Source organism: Homo sapiens, chromosome 11 (genome assembly GCF_000001405.40).
Source record: "Homo sapiens chromosome 11, GRCh38.p14 Primary Assembly".
NCBI lineage: Eukaryota > Metazoa > Chordata > Mammalia > Primates > Hominidae > Homo > Homo sapiens.
In genome coordinates this window covers 130,000,561-130,024,082 of record NC_000011.10, presented here as the reverse complement: position 1 = coordinate 130,024,082, position 23,522 = coordinate 130,000,561, and the positions used below count along the sequence as shown (strand labels likewise).

The 23,522-nt window shown below is 45.3% G+C and overlaps 1 protein-coding gene and 1 long non-coding RNA gene across 11 annotated transcripts in view, besides 8 other annotated features; one reads left to right on the top strand and one right to left on the bottom strand.

The window, feature by feature from the left end:
• Nucleotides 558–637: a silencer, noted in NCBI's record as "silent region_4074". NCBI's record gives its function as "represses an Ori minimal core promoter by ATAC-STARR-seq in GM12878 lymphoblastoid cells {active_cell/tissue: GM12878}" and the evidence as "EXISTENCE:reporter gene assay evidence [ECO:0000049][PMID:35858748]".
• Nucleotides 4,597–4,646: an enhancer, noted in NCBI's record as "active region_5749". NCBI's record gives its function as "activates an Ori minimal core promoter by ATAC-STARR-seq in GM12878 lymphoblastoid cells {active_cell/tissue: GM12878}" and the evidence as "EXISTENCE:reporter gene assay evidence [ECO:0000049][PMID:35858748]".
• Nucleotides 16,846–17,192: a transcriptional cis regulatory region, noted in NCBI's record as "candidate enhancer chr11.6035 targeted for multiplex CRISPR interference". NCBI's record gives its function as "positively regulates APLP2 gene expression with high confidence in K562 cells {active_cell/tissue: K562}" and the evidence as "EXISTENCE:mutant phenotype evidence [ECO:0000015][PMID:30612741]".
• PRDM10-DT (PRDM10 divergent transcript) lies at nt 18,597–21,459 on the bottom strand. Its single transcript, NR_024233.1, has one exon. It is a non-coding gene; the product is annotated as a PRDM10 divergent transcript (long non-coding RNA).
• Nucleotides 20,525–20,914: a silencer, noted in NCBI's record as "silent region_4073". NCBI's record gives its function as "represses an Ori minimal core promoter by ATAC-STARR-seq in GM12878 lymphoblastoid cells {active_cell/tissue: GM12878}" and the evidence as "EXISTENCE:reporter gene assay evidence [ECO:0000049][PMID:35858748]".
• Nucleotides 21,025–21,114: an enhancer, noted in NCBI's record as "active region_5748". NCBI's record gives its function as "activates an Ori minimal core promoter by ATAC-STARR-seq in GM12878 lymphoblastoid cells {active_cell/tissue: GM12878}" and the evidence as "EXISTENCE:reporter gene assay evidence [ECO:0000049][PMID:35858748]".
• Nucleotides 21,248–23,522, top strand: part of PRDM10 (PR/SET domain 10) — a 103,125-nt gene continuing 100,850 nt past the window's right edge. For all 10 annotated transcript variants that reach the window (NM_001367891.1, NM_001367892.1, NM_001367894.1 and 7 more), the window contains exon 1: nt 21,248–21,361. The gene's annotated coding sequence lies outside the window, so the exon portion shown is untranslated. The remainder of the gene's footprint in view (nt 21,362–23,522) is intronic.
• Nucleotides 21,625–21,944: a silencer, noted in NCBI's record as "silent region_4072". NCBI's record gives its function as "represses an Ori minimal core promoter by ATAC-STARR-seq in GM12878 lymphoblastoid cells {active_cell/tissue: GM12878}" and the evidence as "EXISTENCE:reporter gene assay evidence [ECO:0000049][PMID:35858748]".
• Nucleotides 21,955–22,004: a silencer, noted in NCBI's record as "silent region_4071". NCBI's record gives its function as "represses an Ori minimal core promoter by ATAC-STARR-seq in GM12878 lymphoblastoid cells {active_cell/tissue: GM12878}" and the evidence as "EXISTENCE:reporter gene assay evidence [ECO:0000049][PMID:35858748]".
• Nucleotides 22,035–22,214: a silencer, noted in NCBI's record as "silent region_4070". NCBI's record gives its function as "represses an Ori minimal core promoter by ATAC-STARR-seq in GM12878 lymphoblastoid cells {active_cell/tissue: GM12878}" and the evidence as "EXISTENCE:reporter gene assay evidence [ECO:0000049][PMID:35858748]".

The window sequence follows — 23,522 nt, the reverse complement described above, 5'->3', positions numbered from 1 at the left end:
ATTAGCCGAGCATGGTGGCAGTCGCCTGTAGTCCCAGCTACTCTGGAGGCTAAGGCAGGAGAATGGCATGAACCCGGGAGGCGGAGCTTGCAGTGAGCCAAGATCACGCCACTGCACTCCAGCTTGGGCAACAGAGCAAGACTTCATCTCAAAAAAAAAAAAAAGAAAGTATTTTCTATAATGTTTTCGGGGAGCTGTCATTTAAAACACGAATCATTCATATCTTCTTAGCCTACTCTACTAAAGGTTTTGTGTTTGTTTTTGTTTTTCTCTTTCCATTTTCCTTCCCAGTACTACTTCTCTGTTCCTGTTTGTAAGGAAAGCAAGCAAACCACTGGCCCAAAGTATACAACTGTTTTTCTCTTCCATCCCTATTATGTTCTTTTGTCATTTTCCCTATTATTGTTCAGCTAGCCATCAAGCCAAATTATAAACATGGGGGAAGATGATGGCAAAAGGCCACTGTTGGTTTAAAACAGGCTGGAAAGCAACCTTCTCCAACAAACAGGTAGCAATCCAACACAGGTGAAAGCACACAAAGGGGCTGCTGGGCTGTGACCCATGAACTCCCTTGGGACCAACTGGTGTGATCAGAGGAAAGACAATCGCAGATTGCTCAGTTGTGTTTCCTGCTGTCAGTGAGGAGTAGTGATAATCAAAACTAGGCTTGGCAAGTGAACAGACCATAGGCAAAGTGGTGGAGCCAGTCAAGCGTGTCTGGGGCAGAAGCCTTGACCTCAGGCATTCCAGAAATCATTTCTAACAATTGAGTCATCTCACACATCTCATTTTTTGAAGGATCAAGTTAAGTGCATAGTAGGTTCACCATAAACTTGTATTTTTCTTTGGCATTTCCTGTGATTTTTGTTACTCTTTATGGAAAACTATTAATTTGTATTTTGTGTCTAGTCACCAAACTCTTGTAGACTTAACTGTATACTCTGCAAGTAACGATAATTTTGTTTTCTCTTTTCTAATAATTATCTCTTATTTTTGTTCTATATTTTATTGCATTGGTTTGAATTTCCAAGGCAGTGCTGTTGGTTTGCAGAGACAGGGTTTCACTCTGTTGCCCAGGCTGAATGCAGTAGTATAACCACACCTCACTGCAGTCTCACACTCATGGGCTCAAGCAATCCCAGCCTCAGCCTCCAGAGTGGCTACTACTACAAGTGTGTGTTACCATCCCTGGCTAATTTTTCAGTGTTTTGTGGAGAGTGGGGTATAGCTATGTGTCTGGAATTGGTGGGTTCTTGGTCTCACTGACTTCAAGAATCAAGCCGCTGACCCTCGCGGTGAGCATTACAGTTCTTAAAGGCGGTGTGTCCGGAGTTTGTTCCTTCTGATGTTCGGATGTGTTCGCGGTTTCTTCCTTCTGGTGGGTTCGTAGTTTTGCTGGCTCAGGAGCGAAGCTGCAGACTTTCGCGGTGAGTGTTACAGCTCTTAAGGCGGTGTGTCTGGAGTTGTTCGTTCCTCCCGGTTGGTTCGTGGTCTCGCTGGCTTCAGGAGAAAAACTGCAGACTTTCACGGTGAGTGTTACAGCTCTTCAGGCAGTCTGGACCCAAAGAGTGAGCAGCAGCAAAATTTATTGCAAAGAGAGAAAGAACAAAGCTCCCACGGTGTGGAAGGCGACCCGAGCGGGTTGCCACCGCTGGCTCGGGCAGCCTGCTTTTATTCTCTTATCTGGCCCCACCCACGTCCTGCTGATTGGTAGAGCCCAGTGGTCTGTTTTGACAGGGTGCTGATTGGTGCGTTTACAATCCCTGAGCTAGACACAAAGGTTCTCCACGTCCCCACCAGATTAGCTAGATACAGAGTGTCGACGCAAAGGTTCTCCAAGTCCCCACCAGAGTAGCTAGATACAGAGTGTCGATTGGTGCACTCACAAACCCTGAGCTAGACACAGGGTGTTGACTTGTGTGTTTACAAACCTTGAGCTAGATACAGAGTGCCGACTGGTGTATTTACAATCCCTTAGCTACACATAAAGGTTCTCCACGTCCCCACCAGACTCAGGAGCCCAGCTGGCTTCACCCAGTGGATCCCGCACCGGGGCTGTGCACCCTGCGCCCTCACTCCTCAGCCCTTCGGTGATCGATGGGACTGGGCGCGTGGAGCAGGGGGCGGCTCTCGTCGGGGAAGCTCGGGCCGCACGGGAGCCCACGGAGTGGGGGGAGTCTCAGGCATGGCGGGCTGCAGGTCCCCAGCCCTGCCCCGCGGGAAGGCAGCTAAGGCCCGGCGAGAAATTGAGCACAGCAGCTGCCGGCCCGGGCGCTAAGCCCCTCACTGCCCAGGGCTGGTAGGGCCGGCCGGCTGCTCCGAGCGCGGGGTCCGCCCAGCCCACGCCCACCCGGAACTCGCGCTGGCCCGCAAGCGCCGCACGCAGCCTGGGTTCCCGCCTGCGCCTCTCCCTCCACACCTCCCCGCAAGCTGAGGGAGCGGGCTCCGGCCTTGGCCAGCCCAGAAAGGGGCTCCCAGAGTGCAGCGGCGGGCTGAAGGGCTCCTCAAGTGCCGCCAAAGTGGGAGCCCAGGCAGAGGAGGCCCCGAGAGTGAGCGAGGGCTCTGAGGACTGCCAGCACGCTGTCACCTCTCAGCTACATTGCCCAGGCTGGTCTTGAATGCTTGGGTCTCAATCAATCTTCCTACCTTAGCCTCCCAAAGTGTTGGGATTACAGGCATGAGCCATTGTGTTCAGCCTCAAGGCAGTGTTAAATAATATATGGGGCATCGTTGTCACCTCTTTTTTTTTTTTTTTTTTTTTTGAGACAGAGTCTCGCTCTGTGGCCCAGGCTGGAGTGCACTGGCACCATCTCTGCTCACTGCAAGCTCCGCCTCCCGGGTTCATGCCATTCTCCTGCCTCAGCTTCCTGAGTAGCTGGGACTACAGGTGCCCACCACTGCGCCCGGCTAATTTGTTTGTATTTTTAGTAGAGACGGGGTTTCCCCGTGTTAGCCAGGATGGTCTCAATCTCCTGACCTCGTGATCTGCCCTCCTCGGCCTCCCAAAGTGCTGGGATTACAGGCGTGAGCCACCGCGCCTAGCTGTCACCTCCTTCAAAAAAAACAACAACAACAAATAGAGACGAGGTTTGTTACCCTCGCTATGTTGCCCAGGTTGGTCTCGAACTCCTGTACTCAAGTGATCCTCCCGCCTCAGCCTACCACAGTGCTGAGATTACAGATGTGAGCCACCATGCTTGGCTCTATTTTTCTTTTTATCATCTATTTTTTTATAGGAATGCTTCAGTTGATTATCATAAGTAGGATATTGTAGAGGGTTGAATTTTATCCCCCTAAAAAGATATTCAAGGTCTAATCCCCCTCCCCCTCCTCATACCTGTGAACGCAACCTTCTTCAGGAATAGGGCCTTTGTAGATGTAATAAGTTAAGATGAGTTTATACTTGATAAGGGTGGACCCTATATACAATGATTGTTGTCCTTGTAGGGAGAGGGAGATCTGGAAATGAATACAGTTCAGGCAAGACGGGCAGGTGAAGAAGGCAGAAGCAGAAAGTGAAGTGATGAAACTGCAAGTCAAGGAATTCCAAGGATTGCTGGCGAACACAGGAATTTAGGAAGAGGCAAGAAAGAATTCCTTCCCAGAGACTTCTGAGGGAATACAGCCTTGCCGATAGCTTATTTCAGCCTTCTAGATTTCAGAGCTGGGAGAGAATGAATGTCTGTTGTTTCAATCTTCCAGTTTATGGTAGTTTGTTCCTAGGAAACTAATACGTATATTGTTTATCTTTGAAAATAGGTATTTGAGAACATTTCTACTTCTCTTTGACTAGGATATTTTGTAAAATTAATAAGGAATAAGCACTCTTTAATCAAATAAGTTTTTTGCATCTTGCTTGCTAAAATGTATGCATTTTTTAAAAAGTATGTATTTTAGTTTTAAAATTGTCTGTATATGTATATGCACATGAATTTAATATTTTATATAAATCCATAAATGCAATCATGTTATATATCTTGAATTTTATGTTTTTCATATTGTGGTCTTTTTCTTCTCGTTTTGCTTTGCACGCTCCTCTTCTCCTGCCCCTCTGCCTACTTCACCCTAATCCACATACCCAGGTAACTGTATATTCACAGATGTTTATATATTTGCATACACACACACACACACACACACAGAGATTTTTTTTTCATTATTTGTTTTACAAAATGAAATATCACACATGTGATGGTCAACTTCATGTGTCAACTTGATTATTCCCTCAGTTACTAATCTAGCTGTTGCTGTGATTAAAGTCCATAATCAATGACTTTTAGTAAAGGAGAATATCTTAGATAATCTGGTTGGGCCTCATCCAATCAGTTGAAAGGCGTTAAGAGTTGAACTGAGTTTGCCGGGCGTGGTGGCTCACGCCTGTAATCCCGGCACTTTGGGAGGCCGAGGTGGGCGGATCACCAGGTCAGGAGATCAAGACCATACTGGCTAACACGTTGAAACCCCGTCTCTACTAAAAATACAAAAATTAGCCAGGCGTGGTGGCGGTTGCCTGTAGCCCAGCTGAGGCAGGAGAATGCTGTGAACCTGGGAGGCGGAGCTTGCAGTGAGCCGAGATCGCGCCACTGCACTCCAGCCTGGGCGACAGAGCGAGAGATTCCGTCTCAAAAAAAAAAAAAAAAAAAAAAAAGAGTAGAACTGAGGTTTCTGGGAAGAAGAAATTCCACCTGCGGGTAGCAGCCTCAGCCCATGCCAGAGAGTGCCACCTGCCCTTCCTTGTGGCCTGCTCTATGGATTCAGACTTGCCTAGCTAGACCCGATGATTAATCGATCAATTGTGTAATTGAATTTCCTTCAACAAATCCCTTATGATGTCTCCTGCTGTTTCTGTTTTCTTAATTGAGCCCTGACTGATGTAACAGACTTTTTCTCATTTTGCCTTTTTCATTCAGCAATATATGTTGGAAATTATTCTAAATCCACTGACATAGCTACTGTTCATCCACTTTAATTGCTGCATACTATTTTCTGGTGTAGATATGCCATTAATTTTTGACTGTTTCCAGTTTCATGCCATTATGGAAAACGCTGAATTAAATGCCTTATATTGGTTATTTTCTTTCCTCAAGATAGAATCCCAGAATGGAGAACTTTTGAGTTAAACAATTATACAAACATCTCTTATAATATGTATATAGTCATAGTCATCCCTTGGTATCCTTGAGGATGGGTTCCAGGACACCTGTGGGTACCAAAATCCACAGATGCACAAGTCCCTTATATAAAATGGCATAGTATTTGCGTATAACCTACACACATCCTGCCATATCCTTTAAATCCTTTCTAGATTACATATTACAATACCACATAAAAGTGATGGTCAATTTTTTGTGTCAACTGGTTATTCCATCGACGACTAATCTAGGTGTTGTTGTGATGAAAATCTATAATCAAAGACTTTTAGTAAAGGAGTATATCTTAGATAATCTGGGTGGGCCTCAGAAGGGAAGGGAAGAACTGAGATTTCCGGGAAGAAGAAATTCCACCTGTGGATAGTAGCCTCAGACCATCAGCCTCAACAACAATACAATGTAAATGCTATGTAAATGGTTGTTATACTGTATTGATTCTTTTTTTTTTTTTTTTTGAGACAGAGTCTTGCTCTGTCACCCAGACTGAAGTGCAGTGGAACTATCTCCGCTCATTGCAACCTCTGCCTCCTGGGTTCAAGCAATTCTCTTGCCTCAACCTCCCGAGTAGTTGGGATTACAGGCGTGCACCATTACGCCCAGCTAATTTTTGTATTTTTAGTAGAGATGGGGTTTCACCATGTTGGCCAGGCTGGTCTCAAACTCCTGACCTCAGGTGATCTGCCAGCCCCGGCCTCCCAAAGGACTGAGATTACAGGTGTGAGCCACTGCACCCGGCCTTGGGTGGGGACACAACCAAACCATATCACCACTATATACTTGATTCTTATTTGTATTATTTTTAATTGTAGTATTATTATTTTTAATTGCTTTTTTCCAAATACTTCAAATCTTTGCTTGGTTGAATCCATGGATGGGGAACCTACAGACACAGAGGGTGGACTGTATACCTTTATACATATTTAATTTTAATTGATGTTACTACCTCCCTTCCTAAAAAGCTGGAACAATTCATAACACCACTAATATTGTATGAAAATACAAAATCATAGGTGCTACTGTTCTTTTTACCCTTTTTCTGTCTGATGAACATAAAGTGATATTTATAATAATAGTTACTTTAATTTCCATAATTCCTGATATGTAGTTTGAGCATTTTTAATACAGCTTCTGGCATTTGGATTTGTTTTCCCTAAAATTTTCTTGATATTCTGTGTCTATTTTATCATTGGGTTGTTTGCCTTTTCTTATAAATTTGTAAGAAATTCCTCTTTGTTCTCTGGTCTTGCTCAGTGGCTCATGCTTGTAATCTCAGTATTTTGGGAGGCCAAGACTGGTGTATTACTTGAGCCCAGGAGTTCAAGACCAGCCTGGGCAACATAGCAAAATCCTCTCTCTACAAAAAATAGGCCTGGCTCAGTGGCTCATGCCTGTAATCTCAGCAATTGGGAGGACACGACAGGTGGATCACTTGAGCCCAGGAGTTTGAGAACAGCCTGGGCAATATGGCAAAACTCTACAAAATAAAAGATAATAAAATTAGCCAAGCATGGCAGCGTGCACCTGTAGTCTCAGTTACTTGGGAGGCTGAGATGGGAGGATTGCTTGAGCCTGGGGGGTCAAGGCTACAGTGAACTGTGACTGTGCTACTGCATCCCAGCCTGAACAGCAGAATGAGACCTTGTCTCAATTAAAAAATAAATAAACAAAACGAAATTACTCTTTGTTCTATCGCAAAAATTTTAATGTACTGTTTATTGAATTTATTTATGGTATGTATAGCTAAAGTTTTTGTTTAGCTGTATGTAAATATGCCTATTGTCTTCATTATAGTTTTTGTTTGTTTGTTTTTACAATTACAGTTTCTCGGCTTCAAAACTTGGGTAAAGAAGGTCACCATTGTCCCTAGAAGAGATGGTACAGGTAGCATCTTAGATTGTCTTACAAGATGTATATTTATTTATTTTATTTTTTTTTGAGATGGAGTCTCGCTCTGTCACCAAGGTTGGAGTGCAGTGGTGGGACCTCGGCTCACTGCAAGCTCTGCCTCCTGGGTTCACGCCATTCTCCTGCCTCAGCCTCCCATGTAGCTGGGACTACAGGTGCCTGCCACTGTGCCCGGCTGATTTTTTGTATTTTTAGTAGAGGTGGGGTTTTGCCGTGTTAGCCAGGATGCTCTCAATCTCCTGACCTTGTGATCTGCCCACCTTGGCCTCCCAAAGTGCTGGGATTACAGGCGTGAGCCACCATGCCTGGCCTTGATGTTTATTGCTTTATTGTTGTATTTGTCTTTAGTCTTTTTTAAATTATATATTCACCTAAAAAAACCCAAGAGACCATAATAAATCTTAATCATATTTTAAACAAAGGGAGAAGTAAATTCTCCTTTTCAAATTCTTAGCCAACTTAAAAATGTTCTTTGATTATTATAATTTTCAGAAATTCCAAAGCAATTTTAATAGCACTATTGAGTTATAATTGACATATAATTTCAAAATGTTGCCTTTGGAACTTTTGCAATCCCTCCCCTGCCAACCTCTCTTCACTCCCCAGGCAATCCCTGATCTGCTTCCTATCACTGCAGATTAGTCTGCATTTTCTAGGATTTAATGTAAATGGAATCATGCAGTAAATACTCTTTTGGGGAGTCTGGTTTATTTTACTTAGGATAATTATTTTGAGATCATGTTGTTGCACATATAACTAGTTCAGTTCTTTTTATTGCTGAATAGTACTAGATTGTATGGATATACCACTTCTATTGGTCCATTTTCATGCTGCTGATAAAGACATACCTGAGACTGGGCAATTTACAAAAGAAAGAGGTTTAATTGGACTTAACAGTTCCATGTGGCTGGGGAAGCCTCACAATCATGGCAGAAGGCAAGGAGGAGCAAGTCATGTCTTACATGGATGGCAGCGTGCAGAGACGGAGAGAGAGAGAGAGAGCTTGTGCAGGGAAACTCCCCCTTATAATACCATCAGATCTTGTGAGACCCACTCACCATTGCAAGAACACCATGGGAAAGACCTGCCTCCATGATCCAGTTACCTCCCACCAGGTCCCTCCCACAACACGTGGTAATTCAAGATGAGATTCAGGTGGGGATAGAACCAAACCATATCATCACTATATACTTACCCGTTCAAATGTTAATGAACAATCTAGTTTTTGGCTATTACCAAATATAAACATTCATATACAAGGCTTTTTTTTTTTGTAAGATAGGGTCTTATTCTGTCATCTAGGCTGGAGTGCAGTGGTGCAATCATGACTCATTGCAGCCTCAACCTCCTGGGCTCAAGCAATCCTCCCAACTCAGCCTCCTGAGTAGCTGGGACTACATATGCATACAGCTATGCCCAGCTAATTTTGTATTTCTTTGTAGAGATGAGGTTTTACCATGTTCCCTAGGCTGGTCTTGAACCCCTGGGCTCAAGGAATCCACCTGCCTCAGCCTCCAAAATTGGGATAGCAAGCATGAGCCTCATATACAAATTTTTATATGGACATATGCTTTCATTTTCTCTTTGGTAAATACCTAGGAGTAGAAGGACCAAGGCATATGATAGGTATATGTTTAATGTTTTAGGAAACTGCCAAGCTTTTCCCAAATTGCTCATACCATTTATATTCCCACTAACAGTTATGACAGTTCCAGTTGCTCCACATTTTGTTATTTCTTGATGTGGTCAGTCTTTTTATTTTTGGACATTCTATTAATAATAGGTACACACCTATTAGTGATATTGCATGTGGGTTTTTTTTTTTTTTTTTCGTGAGACAAGTCTCAGTCTGTTGCCCAGGCTGGAGTGCAGTGGCACAATCTCAACTCACTGCAACCTCCGCCTCATGGGTTCAAGCTATTATCTTGCCTCAGCCTTCTGAGTAGCTGGGATTATAGGTGTCCGCCACCATGCCTGGCTAATTTTGTATTTTTAGTAGAGACAGGTTTTGCCATGTTGGCCAGGCTGGTCTTGAACTCCTGACCTCGTGATCCACCCACTTTGGCCTCCCAAAGTGCTGGGATTACAGCTGTGAGCCACCGTGCTCAGCCTGCATGTGGTTTTAATTTGTATTTCCCTAATGACTGATGATGTACAGCATCTTTTCATGTGATTATTCACCACGCATATATCTCCTTTGGTGAGGGGTCTGTTTATTTGTTTTTTTCCAGTGAGAAGCCTGGTGTGGTTCTTACTTTTGTTCCCCTATATGTAGTTTGATCACTACTCTGCTGAATATTCAAGGGGGCCTTCTGTACATCTCCAGAGCTCTCTTTCTCTCTGTGTAGCTTTCTTCTGACACTGTGCCCTGCAAACTTGAGTCTCCCTGGAAGCCCAGTCATGTCTCCTCAATTCAGAGAAACTGCCAAGCTCCTCCAGGGTTTTTCACCCTGCACTGCAGTGTGTCATTTTCTGCAGGAAGCTTACGAGAGTTTCTAGAGCTTACTGCAGAGAGCAAAGAGTACGTACTGCAGCTCTAGTTAGCTGGAGCTCTAGTTAGCTGTGGCGCAGGCCTCCTCTCTTTGGTTTCTATCCTTTGTTCCCTTATGTTCACTTTCTTAAACACTGTAATTTTAAATACTTTGTCTGATTTTTTTTTCTTAGTTGTTTTAGGTGAGAGAATAAATACAGTCCCATTTTTCCATCTTGGCTGAAAGCAGAAGTTCTTTACCAAAATGTTTCTGAATTTATATAAAAATAGTACAAAACAGTGTATATGTTTTCTCATGAATTAAAAACTTTTTTATCTTTCTGTAGTGGCCCGATTTATCTCTGGCAGTGCTTTGTGTCTTAAGATCTATTTTGTCTGACAGTAATTCTAGCTTTCCTTCAGTTAGTGTTTGCCTGGTGTCTTTTTCTATATTTTGACTTTCAGCCCTTGCTGTGTCTTTTTTTTTTTCCTTTATTTTTATTTTTTAAAGTTTTTTTTACCCATGACACCTGCCCAGGAGGTTCTGAAAACATGTGCCCTGTGTCTTTATTTTTTAGGTGTCTTTTTGAAAATAGCTTGTAGGTGTGTGTGTGTTTGTATATACATTATTTGTGACTATCTTTTTCTTTTTGTTGTATTGTTTAGTTGCTTTACATGTATTATGATCTGGATTTATTATTATTATTATTATTATTATTATTTTTGAGACAGACTCTGTCACCCAAGCTGGAGTGCAGTGGCACCATTTTGGCTCACTGCAACCTCCGCCACCTGGGTTTAAGTGATTCTCCTGCCTCAGCCTCCCGAGTAGCTGGGATTACAGGTGCATGCCACCATGCCTGGCTATTTTGTATTTTAGTAGAGATGGGGTTTCACTATGTTGGCCAGGCTGGTCTCGAACTCCTGACCTCAAGAGATCCACCTGCCTCGGCCTCCCAAAGTGCTGGGATTACAGGCATGAGCCACTGCACCTGGCCTCTATTATTATTTTTAGACCGGTTTCACTTCTGTCACCCAGACCAGAGTGCAGTAGCGCGATTTCGGCTCATTGCATCCTCCACCTCCTGGGCTCAGGTGATTCTCCCACCTCAGCCTCCTAAGTAGCTGGGACTACAGGCATGTGCCACCACGCACAGTTAATTGTTGCATTTTTTGTAGAGACGAGGTTTCACCATGTTGCCCAGGCTGGTCTTGGACTCCTGACCTCAAATGACCTGCCCGCCTTGGCCTCCCAAAGTGTTAGGATTACAGGCATGAGCCACCATGCCTGGCCTCTAATATATCTTTTAGTTTAATTTTTTAAATATTAAAAATTGTTCTAGAGACAGGATCTCACTGTGTTGCTCAGGCTGGAGTACAGTGGCTATTTACAGGTATGATCACAGGATACTGTGGCCTGGAACTCCTGGGTTCAAGTGATCTTTCTGCCTCAGACTCCGGAGGAGCTGGGACTACAAGTGTGAGCCACCACACCTGGATATTTCTACAATTACATGCTGTTCTTTTGCTCCACATTTTTTTCTCTTCCGTGTCTTGCCTTTTTTGGATTGACATTTTAAATTTTTCTCTTTAATTCTATTTTTACTGTACTGTATTAGAAGTTGTGCCTGTTTATTTGCTTGCCAGTCTCCCAATTAAACATGTATTATTAATAAAATAGAAAATGAAGTATTTACCCTTCTCTCAAATACTTCAAGACTTTTAATACTTTACCCCTGATCAGCCCCCTCTGTAAGTGTGTGCTATTCTGTCTAGTATCTTAGTTTTATCGTGTCATTAATGCTGCAGGTAGACATTATTGTTTTATATATTCAGTATTGGTTTAGAATTACCTACATATTTTCTAATGTTCTGCCTTACAATTCCTTTTTAATTTTAATTTTTTTTAAGACAGAGTCTCATTCTGTCACCCAGGCTGGAGTGCAGTGGCGTGATTTCGGCTCACTGCAACCTCCACCTCCTGGGTTGAAGTGATTCTCATGCCTCAACCTCCCAAGCAGCTGGGACTACAGGTGTGCACCACCACACCTGGCTAATTTTTTTTGTATTTGTAGCAGAGATGGGGTTTCGCCATGTTGGCCAGGCTGGTCTTAAACTCCTGGCCTCAAGTGATCCTCCCACCTCCGCCTCCTAAAGTGTTGGGATTACTGGCGTGAGCCACTGCACCCACCCTAAAATAATAATAATCTTTAAAAGAATTTAGGCTGGGGCTGGGCACGGTGGCTCACACCTGTAATCCCAGCACTTTGGGAGGCTGAGGCAGGCAGATCACGAGCTCAGGAGTTCAAGACCAGCTTGACCAACATGATGAAACCCCATCTCTACTAAAAATGCAAAAATTAGCCGGATGTGGTGACACGCACCTGTAATGTAATCCCAGCTACTAAGGAGGCTGAGGCAGGAGAATCGCTTGAACCCAGGAGGCGGAGGTTGCAGTAAGCCGAGATCATGTCACTGCACCCCAGCATGGGCAACAGAACAAGACTCTGTCTCAAAAAAAAAGAATTTAGGCCGGGCGTGGTAGGGTCATGCCTGTAATCCCAGCACTTTGGGAGGCTGAAGCAGGGAGATCCACCTGAGGTCAGGAGTTTGAGACCAGCCTGGCCAACATGGTGAAACCCCATCTCTACAAAAAATACAAAAATTAGCCTGGCCTGGTGGCATGTGCCTGTAATCCCAGCTACTTGGGAGGCTGAGGCAGGAGGATCACTTGAGCCCGGGAGGCAGAGGTTGCAGTGAGCTGAGATCTCGCCCCTGCACTCCAGGCTAGGAGAGACAGTGAGACTCCATCTCGCAAAAAAAAAAAAAAAAAAAAAAAATTATTGTGTTAATTTTGGTAAAACATACACAACATTAAATTTAGTATTTTAACCATTTTAAAGGTCTCACTCAGTGGTATTAGTTATTTACATTATTGTGCAGTCATCACCACTACCCATCCTCAGAACTTACTCTATAATAAAATGAAATCACAATTCCTCCTTGCATTTTAAATCTTCCGCCTGTGATTGTATTTGTTTTGCCTCATTTAGTACTAATTCTAGTGTAAAATATTTTGGTAGTCAATTCTTTTAACTCTCATTTGTCTGAAAATGTTTTTATTTTGCCCTTGGTTGAGAGAAGCAAGTTTCTCTGATGGATCTCTCTTTAAGGCCAGTTTACTTTTTATTCACCCTTACACTTATTATATCATTCAACTTGATGAAATTATCTTCTCTTAGGCTTTATATTTTGAGTGGGCCCAAGACTCTATCACTGTCTCCTACCTATACCCTGTATATCCTTAAAATAGAAACTCAAGGTGTTAGTGTTCTGCAGAATCCCTTGATGAAAGCCAGCTTTGATGCAGGTTCATCTCCCAGGAGTTCCACTTTGGCTTTAAATTATTTTTTTTTTTTGAGACAAAATCTTGCTCTTGTCCCCCAGGCTGGAGTGCAATGGCACGATCTCGTCTCACTGCAACCTCTGCCTCCTGGGTTCAAGCGATTCTCCTGCCTCAGCCTCCCGAGTAGCTGGGATTACAGGCGCCTGCCATCACGCCCAGGTAATCTTTGTATTTTTAGTAGAGACCGGGTTTCTCCATGTTGGTCAGGCTGGTCTCGAACTCCTGACTTCAGATGATCTGCCTTCCTCGGCAGTGTTGGGATTACAAGTGTTGGGATTACAGGCGTGAGCCACTGCGCCCAACCAATTTTTTTTTTTAATGATCATAGCTTTATAATATATGTTAGCAGATCATATCCTCAGAAACCTACAAGTTTGTTTCTTCTTTCCTAATCCTTGTGTTCTTTTTCTCTGTCTTATTTGCATTGGTTAACCTCTCAGGGCCGTGTTAATTAGAAGTAGGGTAACAGCATCCATCACTTGTTCCTGACATTCAATTGGAATGCTTTTAAAAGTTTAGCAGTAATTGGCTGGGCGTGGTGGCTCACACCAGTAATCCCCGCACTTTGGGAGGCCGAGGCAGGCAGATCACGAGGTCAGGAGATCGAGACCATCCTGGCTAACACGGTGAAACCCCATCTCTACTAAACATACAAAAAAGTTAGCCAGGCGTGGTGGTGGGCGCCTGTAGTCCCAGCTACTTGGGAGGCTGAGGCAGGAGAATGGCGTGAACCCAGGAGGCGGAGCTTGCAGTGAGCCGAGATCATGCCAATGCACTCCAGCCTGGGCAACCGAGCGAGACTCCGTCTCAAAAAAACAAAACAAAACAAAGTTAGCACTAATTATATTTGTTGTGATGGCTTTTTGGACCCAGTTCTTCCTTTTCCTTCTCCTTCTCTTTCTTCCTCTCCCTTTCCCTCTCCCTCTCCCCCTCCCCCTCCCCCTCTTCCCCTTTCTCTTCCTGTTCTTCTCTTTTGAGTCAGGGTCTCGCTGTGTTGCCCAGACTGGAGTGTAGTGGTACGATCTCTGTTCACTGCAACCCCACCTCCCAGGCTTAAGTGATTCTTGTGCCTCAGCCTCCTGAGTAGCTGGTATTACAGGTGTGTGCCACCAGGCCTGGCTAATATTTGTATTTTAAGTAGAGATGGGGTTTCCCCATGTTGGCCAGGCTGATCTTGAACTCTTGACCTGAAGTGATATGCCTGCCTTTGCCTCCCAAATTGTTGGGATTATAGACGTGATCCACCACGCCTGGCCTTTGGACCCAATTTCTATTATACTGATGAAATATCTCCTTATTAAAAATCTCTAATATCATAAAATTTGGGTTTCTGCTTAAGGCTTTCTCATATTAATTGAATTTTACTCTAAAATTTAATTATCTGATGTGCTATGAAATATGAATTCCTGCTAAAGCCTTTCCTAAATCCAAGGTATTCATAAGGTTTTAATGAGTATGAATTCTTTGGTGTCAAATATGGCATGACTTCTGTTTGAGATATTTCATTAGTTTTTTTCGTTGGTATTGGTTCTCTTATGTAGAGCATTGGCTAAGAATGGACAGAAGACTTTACCACACATTTTACATTCATACTTACGGGTTCTTACATGTACAATAAGCAGTATGATTACAGAGAAAACTTCTGCACCCTTAGTATAGGGTGTCGCCCTCGTCATGAATATTGTAATATTTAATGATGAATAGCTTCTGCCCGAAGATCGTTGCACTTTCATTATCTTTACAGGGCACCCCTCAGATCTGAATTTTCTTTTCTTCTCTTTTTATTTTTTGACAGGGTGTCACTCTGTCACCCAGGCTGGAGTGCAGTGGCGTGATTACGGCTCACTGCAGTCTCCGCCTCCCCAGGCTCAGGTGATCGTTTTTATATTTTATTTTTAGTAGAGACCTCAGTTTTTATATATTTTATTTTTAGTAGAGACGGGGTTTCGCCATGTTGCCCAGGCTGGTCTTGAACTCCTGTGCTCAAGTGATCCACCCACTTTGGCCTCTCAAAGTGCAGGGATTACAGGCGTGAGCCACCGCGCCTGGCCTCAAATCTGGATTTTCTCATGCCCAGTGGAATTTGATTTGCCACTGAGTGCTTTCTCACCTTCCCTACTTGCGTAGGGTTTATCTCCAGTATGACCTCTCTGGTATAAAGTTTGACTTCCGAATAAAAGCTTTTTCATACCTACTACATTCATAAGATTTCTTTTTTATATGGATTATTGATGAATAATGAAGTTTTCCTTTTGGCTGAAGATGTTCCACATTTCTTACATTCATAGAGTTCTCATTATTTACAGTGTGAATGTTCTGATCTTTAATGAAGTATTTCTTCTAGCTAAGACACTTCCACATTGATTCCATTCCGGGCTTTCTTTCCTGGATGAATTTTTCTCATTCTCTGTGAGATGTGATTTGCGACTGAAGGCTTTCCCACCTTCCTTATGTGCATAGGAAGGACAGTCTCTCCAGCATGTCTTCTTTGGTGTCTAATGAGACTTGACATTTTAATAGCAGCTTTTCCACATTTATCATTGTTATATGATTTCCTCCCTGTATGGTTTTCCTTTTTTCTCTTTCTCTTTCTTTCTCTCCCTTTCTTTTTCTTTCCTTCCTTCCTTCTTTCTCTCTTTCTCCCTTTCTTCTCCTTCTCCTTCTTCTTCTTCTTTTTTTCTTTTCTTTTTTTTTTTTTGAAATGAGGTCTCACTCTGTTATCCAGGCTAAAGTGCAGTGGCACAATCATGGCTCACTGCAATCTCAAACCTTCTGGGCTCAGATGATCCTCCCACCTCAGCCTCACAAGTATCTAGTACTACAGGCATGCGCCACCACGCCAGGCTACTTTTTTCTCTCTCTCTCTTTCTTTTCTTTTCTTTCTTTCTTTTTTTCTTTTTAAATAGAGACAGGGTTTCACCATATTGCCCAGGCTGCTCTCAAACTCCTCACTCAAGTGATCCACTTCGGCCTCCCAAAGTGCTGGGATTAACAGGTGTGAGTCACTGTGCCACCTGGCCCCAGCTAGTTTTTCATTCAAATCTTAAAAACAAAAACACCCAAAACTGTTGCTATCTTATAAATACTCATCATCCCAGCTATCCACATTCAGATAATTCCTCACTCTCTCCTTCTCCCCGACAACCCCAAACAATCTTGTACCACATAATTTCTTACTTAATAATGTTAAATTAGTTTCCCATGGTTGTCATAACAAAGTATCACAAACAGGTAGCTTAAAACCTTAGAGATGTATTCTCTCTTGGCTCTGGAGGCTAGAGGTCTGAAATCAAGGTGCCCGCCCTGTTCCCTCTGAAGCCTCTAGGAAAGAACCCTTCCTATCTCCTTCCAGCTTCTGGAGGTTGCCAGCAACCTTCAGCATTCCTTGGCTGGTGGACACGTCACTCTCTGTTGCTGTTTTTAGCCTTCCTATTCCCTCCCCTGTGGATCTATGTCTTTGTTTTCTCGTCTTAAAAGAACACTAGTTATAGGTTTTTAGGGCCTACTTTATCCAGTATAAGCTCATCTTAATTAATTATATCTGCAAAGGCCCTATTTTTTTTTTTTTTTTTTTTGAGAGGGAGTCTCACTCTGTCACCGAGGCTGGAGTGCAGTGGCGCGACCTTGGCTCACTGCAACCTCTGCTTCCCAGGTTCAAGTGATTCTCCTGCCTTGGCCTCCTAAGTAGCTGGGACTACAGGTGCACACCACCACACCTGGCTAATTTTTTGGTATTTTTAGTAGAGACATCTTGGCCAGGCTGGTCTCGAACTCCTGACCTCAGGTGATCCATCTGCCTTGGCCTCCCAAAGTGCTGGGATTACAGGCATGAGCCACCATGCCTGGCCTAGTTCTGTCTTTTTATTCTCCTTTAATCTGGAACAGTTTTTCAGGCTTTCTTTGCTTTTCATGACATACTTTTTTTTTTCTTTTTGAGACGGGGTCTCGCTTTGTCATCTGGGCTTCAGTGCAGTGGTGTGATCATAGCTCACTGCAGCACATTAGTTGTTTTCGTTGGCCTATCTTATCTGCCATATGTTGGCAACAGATGTGACTCTTCACCTCCTATGCTTTCTTCAGGTGACTCCCAGTAAACTTCCTAGCTCTCCCTTGAAGCTACTATTGTCAAAGTTACCAGCAATTTCCACCTCTGTCTTTCCAGATCCACAGGTTAACTGTCATTATCATCAGCTTTTAGCAATATTTGCTGCAGCTGGCCACTACATCCTTCTTGAAACACTGTCTTCCCTTGGCTTCTCAGACACCATCCTCTCCAGGTTCTCCTCCTGTGTTATTTCCTTCTCAGCCTTTTGGATGGCTGCCTTCCTATCATCCACCTCTAAATTCAGCAGCTCCCATGAGCTCAGTCCTGGATACACTTGTCTTCTCTATATACACACTCTCTCTCATCTAATCCTAATTAGATGACCACACCTAATTCTATGTATTTAGATATAATGTATAATCTGATGAACTGTATTCCTATAATTGTATTTCCAGCCCTGATCTCTCTTTTGGATTCCAGCTGCCTACGTGGGGTGTCTAGTTGGATTTTCCAAAAGATATTTCCAATTCAACATGGCTACAATACAACTCTTGATTTTCTAACCATTTATCTCCCAGTGTTCCTAATCTCAGTTAAGGCATCAACATTCATTGGCCACTCAGTTTTCAACCTTAGAAGTCATTCTCGATCACTCCCTTGTCACCAGGAGCAACTTACACTCTGTTCCATAACTTATTCATTTGCAAGTTCTGTGGCTTCACCTCCAAAATATATCTGGTGTCCATACACTTCTCCCCATTTAAGCTACTTCTATTTCAGTCAAGATGGGCCATCGTTTCTTATTCAGAGCATATTGGCACAGACTCCTTGTCTCTTGCCCTCTCCCCAAACAAAATAAGCACCCTAGAGCAGCCAGTTATTTTGAAAGACAAAACTGTGTTACTACCTTACTTAAAACCTCCAACTAGTTTAAGTTGCACTTTTTTCTTTCTTTTTTTTTAATTACCACACTTAGTCAATGCTCCTATTAAGTTGCACTTTCTATAATAATTCCAATACCATAGCCTTCAAAGCCTTATGTGGTCTGTCCCAGACCTATTTCCCCAAGTTTTCTTGTATCACTGTATCCTTGTATCACTACACTCTTTCTTGTATCACTCTGTCCTGTGTTCCAATAATTCTGGCCTTCTTACTGTTTCTCAAGTGTGTTAGACTGAAAGCTCAGTCAAGGCATGGATTTTTGTGTTGTTTTTCCTTTTGTCTATAGTGTTAATTGACGAATCACAGAGCATCTAAGACAGTGCCTGGCATTTGGGAAGCATTCAATGAATATCTATTCAATAGAAGAATGAATATGTGCACGCCATACTAATTTTTTTGTTGTTCACCTCATGGTCTTTACTTTTGCCATTCTCTTAGATTGGAATGTTCTCCAAGATCTTAACATGGCTGGCTTTTTTTTTTCCCCCATAACTCAAGGCTCAGCTCAAATGTTAGTATCTTAGAGAAAACTTCTTTGGCACCCTATTTAAACTGCCAGCGTTCTCTGCCTTTGCATTTTCCTGGTTTACTTTGTAGCACTTATCATGACCTGGAGTTATTTCTTTTCTTCTTGTTACCTACACTAGAATAAAGCTGCATGACAGCAGGGCCTTTTTTGGTTGCTGTTGTTCCCTATTCTATCTTTATTGTTTAGAAAAATGAATGGCACACAGTACATATTCAATAAATACTTCTTGTATACCCCAGTGAGTGAATTTTACAGTGTAAACTTTAAAAATCATTTAAAAATCCACATAAAAAGCAAATTCCTGAGGTTCACTCCAGACCCTCTGAATAAAAACTCTGTGGGGAGGAATCTCCCTGCACATATTTATGTACTTAGAAGTTTTAGAACATTTCTCTAAAGCCATGAGAGTAACTCAGGCTCTTCAGTTTGAATAGCCCCATTCCCCATGGTGCGTTCTCTTTTGGGTTCTGTGGTGTTGTTTCTGGTCAGTGGACCTCAGTTGGGACCATCTCAGTTCATCAGCAAGGATGTAATGATGTTAAATCTAAAAGTGAGCCGTTCTTACTGAGGCCAGGGGTATGTGGAGTGGCAGCTTTTGCAAGGACACAGAAGGACCTGTCCAACCTGCGGCATTGTTCATCTACTCGTAACACTAAAAGGGAGCATTCAAGGGACTCTCTTAGCCAATATGATCTTTCCTTAGGCAACTGATTTCCATGTCTGTGTTGCCAGAGTAGGGCTACTAGTGTCTCTCACTAGCTATGTTAAGGTCGGCCTCATCTAAGTCCAGTGCCACCTGTACAGTGGTTTAAGGAAGAACAAGACACGGCCTAGATGTGAAGTTGTTTACAAAGCAGTTAACTGTCTGAAGTTTCTTCTTGTTGTTGTTTTGTTTTTTTAAAGACAGAGACTTGCTCTATCACCCAGGTTGTAGTGCAGTGGCACGATCACAGCTCACTGCAGCCTTGACTTCCTGGGCTCAAGTAACCCTCCTGCACAGCCTGCCGGTAACTGGAACCACAGATGTGTACTGCCATGCCTGGCTAATCTTTTTGTTTTTTGTACAGAGTCTCACTATGTTGCCCAGGCTGGTCTCGAACGCCTGTGCTCAAGCGATCCACCCGCCTCGGCCTCCCAAAATTCTGGGATTACAGGCGTGAGCCACCGCACCCTGTCACGAAGTTTAAAAAAAAAAAAAAGCTCTCTTTTCTTTCCACGTTGTTTCCAGCTATTTAAAGAAACAAAATGGTAGACTAGACGCAGTGGCTCACATCTGTAATCCCAGCAATTTGGAAGGCCAAGGCGGGAGAATCACTTGACGTTAGAGTTTGAGACCAGCCTGGCCAACATGGGGAAACCCCATCTCTACTGAAAATACAAAAATTAGCCGGGCGTGGTGGTGCATGCCTGTAATCTCAGCTACTAGAGAGGCTGAGGCAGGAGAATCGCTTGAACCCGGGAGGCAGAGGTTGCAATGAGCCCAGATCTCACCACTGCACTCCAGCCTGGGCAACAGAGCGAGACTCCGTATCAAAAAACAAAACAACAAAACAAAACAAAAAACAGTAAAGAGAATACTATTGAGTTAATTTTACAGTTTTTCACGCTGTGGGTGTTTTCTATTCTCGTCTTTTGCTTAGCTGTCCTGTCTCCCTCTTTTTCTCAGGCAATAGTTTAGGATTTTTGTAAGTTATATTGTCAGTACTTCTCATTTAAGTTCCAGACAGTGTGCTAAGCAAAGCACTTTACTCGGTAAAGTAAGAGCTCACTTAATCTTCAAAATAACGTAGCAAGGTAGATATCACGAACATAGCAAGGTAGATATCACCGAAGGGAAAACCGCTCCCCGAAGGTCCGAAGGTCCAAGGTCTCTCTGCCATCTAGCTGCCCTGCGTATTGCCTGCCAGTGGGTAGTTGGAGCTGGGTATCTCTCCAAAGCTGGGCTCTTGGCTGCCCTTTGTGAAGGCAATTTTAAGGGACAGCAGGATGTGGAAGCCTGCGGTTAAGGAGTGAGCTGAGTCACTGGGTAACCAGTGTTGAATAATGTTTCTCAATGTCTGAAATGACACTCACTTCCTTTCCAGATTGGTAGAGGAGAAAAAAGAGGCGCAGTGAAAGCGCTCTCAAGGTGCGGTGGGTCAGGGTGATAGGCGGCGCCCGGCCGCTCCCTGGGGGTCCTGAGGGCGAGACCCCGGCAGGCTCCCGACTCCGGGAGCCGGGCGGGAGTTCGGTTTTCGCCGGCGCTCCACGGCCAGGCCACTTCGGAGGCAATCTGTGGCGGGGCGGGCGGACGCGAGGGCCGCCTCACCCCCGCGCGTCTTCCGGGACACCGGGCCCTCGGGCGCGCGGGAGGCGGGCTTAGCACGGGCGCAGGCTGCCCTCGGCGCCCGAGACACCCAGGCACAGCTGGAAGCTTCCTCCCCGTTAGCACGCGGGCCGCAGCGGGGGCTTGACCCCAATGCGAAGAGTCGGGTTTTCTGATTGGCTGAGAGTAGAAACGCAGGCGAGCGCCGCCTGAGACCCGCTCTGCGATTGGGTTTTACACGAACAGCAGAGCACGAAATAAAGAGGCCTTCAGTCATTGGGCCATTATGTGAATCTCCTTTTGGCTTCTCTGCAGACTGAATAAGCGTCTCAGGATCTTCGTCATGACTCCTAAATCTGGGCCTGTCAGTTCGCCCCAGCGTTTCTCGTCTCTAGGCACGGCATGGGGCTTACAGAGTTTAACCAATCATATAACGTCGAGATCAGGTTGCCAGGCAGATTATGCTAATAAGACCCCGCCTTTTATGCTGCTCCCACTCTGCGGCGGGAAGAACCACCTGGAGGTGGCGGGGGGGGTTGATTTCTATCACCCCTAGGGAGAGAGGATCGGGGACCCGCTGATCTTCCAGCTCCCCTCACCCAACGTCGTGTAAGTACCTAAAGGATTAAGGGAACCAGATAAGCCAGGGTCCAGACTACCCCATAGACTGGGAGGGTGTTTCGTCTTTGCTTAGTCCCACCCAAAATGGCGCCCAGCTCTTTCCGCGTCTCAGAGCCCGGCCGGGGCCAACCGACCGCGGACCCGGGTGGGGGGGGAATTGATGGTGGTGGTGGGGGGGAGAAATCCCGGCGGCACCGCCCGATGGTACAGTCCAGCCGGGGCTGGGACGAGGCACCTCACTCGGGGTGGGGGGTCAAACCATCTGCACCTTCCAAGGGGAAGAGGGCAAGGCCCCCTCCAGCAGGCCCTCCTGGCGCCGCGTTCAGCGCCGGCCTCGGCGTCTCGTCGCCCCTGCCTTCGCCGCGCGCAGCCTCCCCCTGCGACCCCCGAGTGGCTCGCACGCTCCGCCGGCCGCGCGCACCTCTCCTCCCCTGCCCGCGTTGGTTGGGCCGGGACGGCGGTTGGGCGGCCTGCGCGCTCCGGCGGCGGCGGTTGCGCGGGCGCTCCGGGCGCGGCGGGCAGGTCTCCGCCGGCCGGGAGCCGAGCACCGGGGGCTGGGGGCCGGGCGCCGGGCTGGGGGTGGCAGTGCGGGCAGGGCTCCGGGGCTGGCCGGTTGCGGGCGCGTGGGGCGGAGGGTCCTGTTCGATGGGGCGCCCAGCTTTGTCTGCGGAGGCCGCGCCGCCCACTTGCCATCGATGGCTGGGCCCCCGGCCTGCCTTCCCAAGCTAGCGTCCGGGACCGGGGCGGGGGGCCGGCCCGCAGGGGTGTGGGGTGGCCCCTGCGGGTCTGTCCCGTGGCACCGCGTCGGGGCTGGCCGGGCGGAGGCGGAGGCCGAGGCCGGGGTCGCGGCCCTGCCCCAGTCCGCCTGCACCCAGGGTGCAGCGCAGAGGCAGGGCGAGGCCGGTCGGCGCTCGGGAGAGGGCTGATGGTGTGCACCTCTCCAGCCCCTCGCCAGCTTTTGTTAAGCAGGTTTAACCCTGCAGCTAGGTGTTGATACTCTACTAAGTAAAATGGAATATTCCCCGTCTGCCCTCCAGCCACGCGAACGCAGCGCTGTTGAATTTGTGTGCGCGCCTTTAGCCTTGCTTGGTGGATGAGTTGGATTTTAGTGCATTTTCAATCAATGTGCGTGTACACTTAAGCACAAGGAGAGGTGGCTTTGTGCTGTCATCGAGGATTAGATGTGTGATGAGACCCACCCAGCTCTGCCCTGTGCCCTAATTCTGCTGCTTTGCCTGTTGAAACCTTGCCTGTCTCGTCACCCCAAATTCTCTAAACTTAGCAGTACTTAACCTTTATTAAAAACAGCAGAATCACTCATGACTGTTTTGTGGCCTCTTTTTCTGACCTGTTCTCTTTGTTTCTATCACTCCTCCATCGCTGTAAGGCAAGAAGGTGTATTATTACATTGTATTTTTTTTGTATCTTCCTACCATTCCAGCATCACAATAGCTTCCACTTTGATGAGCAGTACTTATTTGTTGTTCTAGAATAGAGAAAACAAGATTTTTTTTTAAAATTAGGATTGGTTGGGGGCAAAGCAGCGTTTAAACAGTGTTTATTCAATATGGGGTATTTAGAAAGGAACTTTGCTAGGTTTATTTAGGAGACAGGGTCTCTGGTTGCCCAGGCTAGAGTGCAGTGGCGCGATCTTGGCTCACTGCCGACTCGACCTCCCGGGCTCAAGGGATCCTCCTGCTTCAGCCTCCCTAGTAGCTGGGACTACAGGCGTGCACCACCACGCCTGGCTAATTTTTCTACTTTTTGTAGAAACGGGGTTTCATCATTTTGCCCAGGATGGTTACGAACTGCTGAGCTCAAGCAATCCTACCGCCGCAGCATCCCTAAGTGCTGGGATTGCAGGCATGGGCCCCCGCGCTCGGCCTTTAGGTTTACTTTTACAATAAATTGAGGTGAAGTTGACACAGAATGAACCATTTTAAAGTGAACAGGGACGTTTAGTGAAAGGATTACATTTTTGTTTGTTTTGGATCAAGACAAATGTCTTGTGCCTTCTACCCCGTAAGCTCCCACTCTGCTATGCTGTTCCTCGTTTTGCAAGGCAAAATTGTTTTGCTTTTTCAAAGAATTCATTTTTAGTTTTTCTAATATTTTGTAGCATGCTCCACCACATATTAATCATATATTG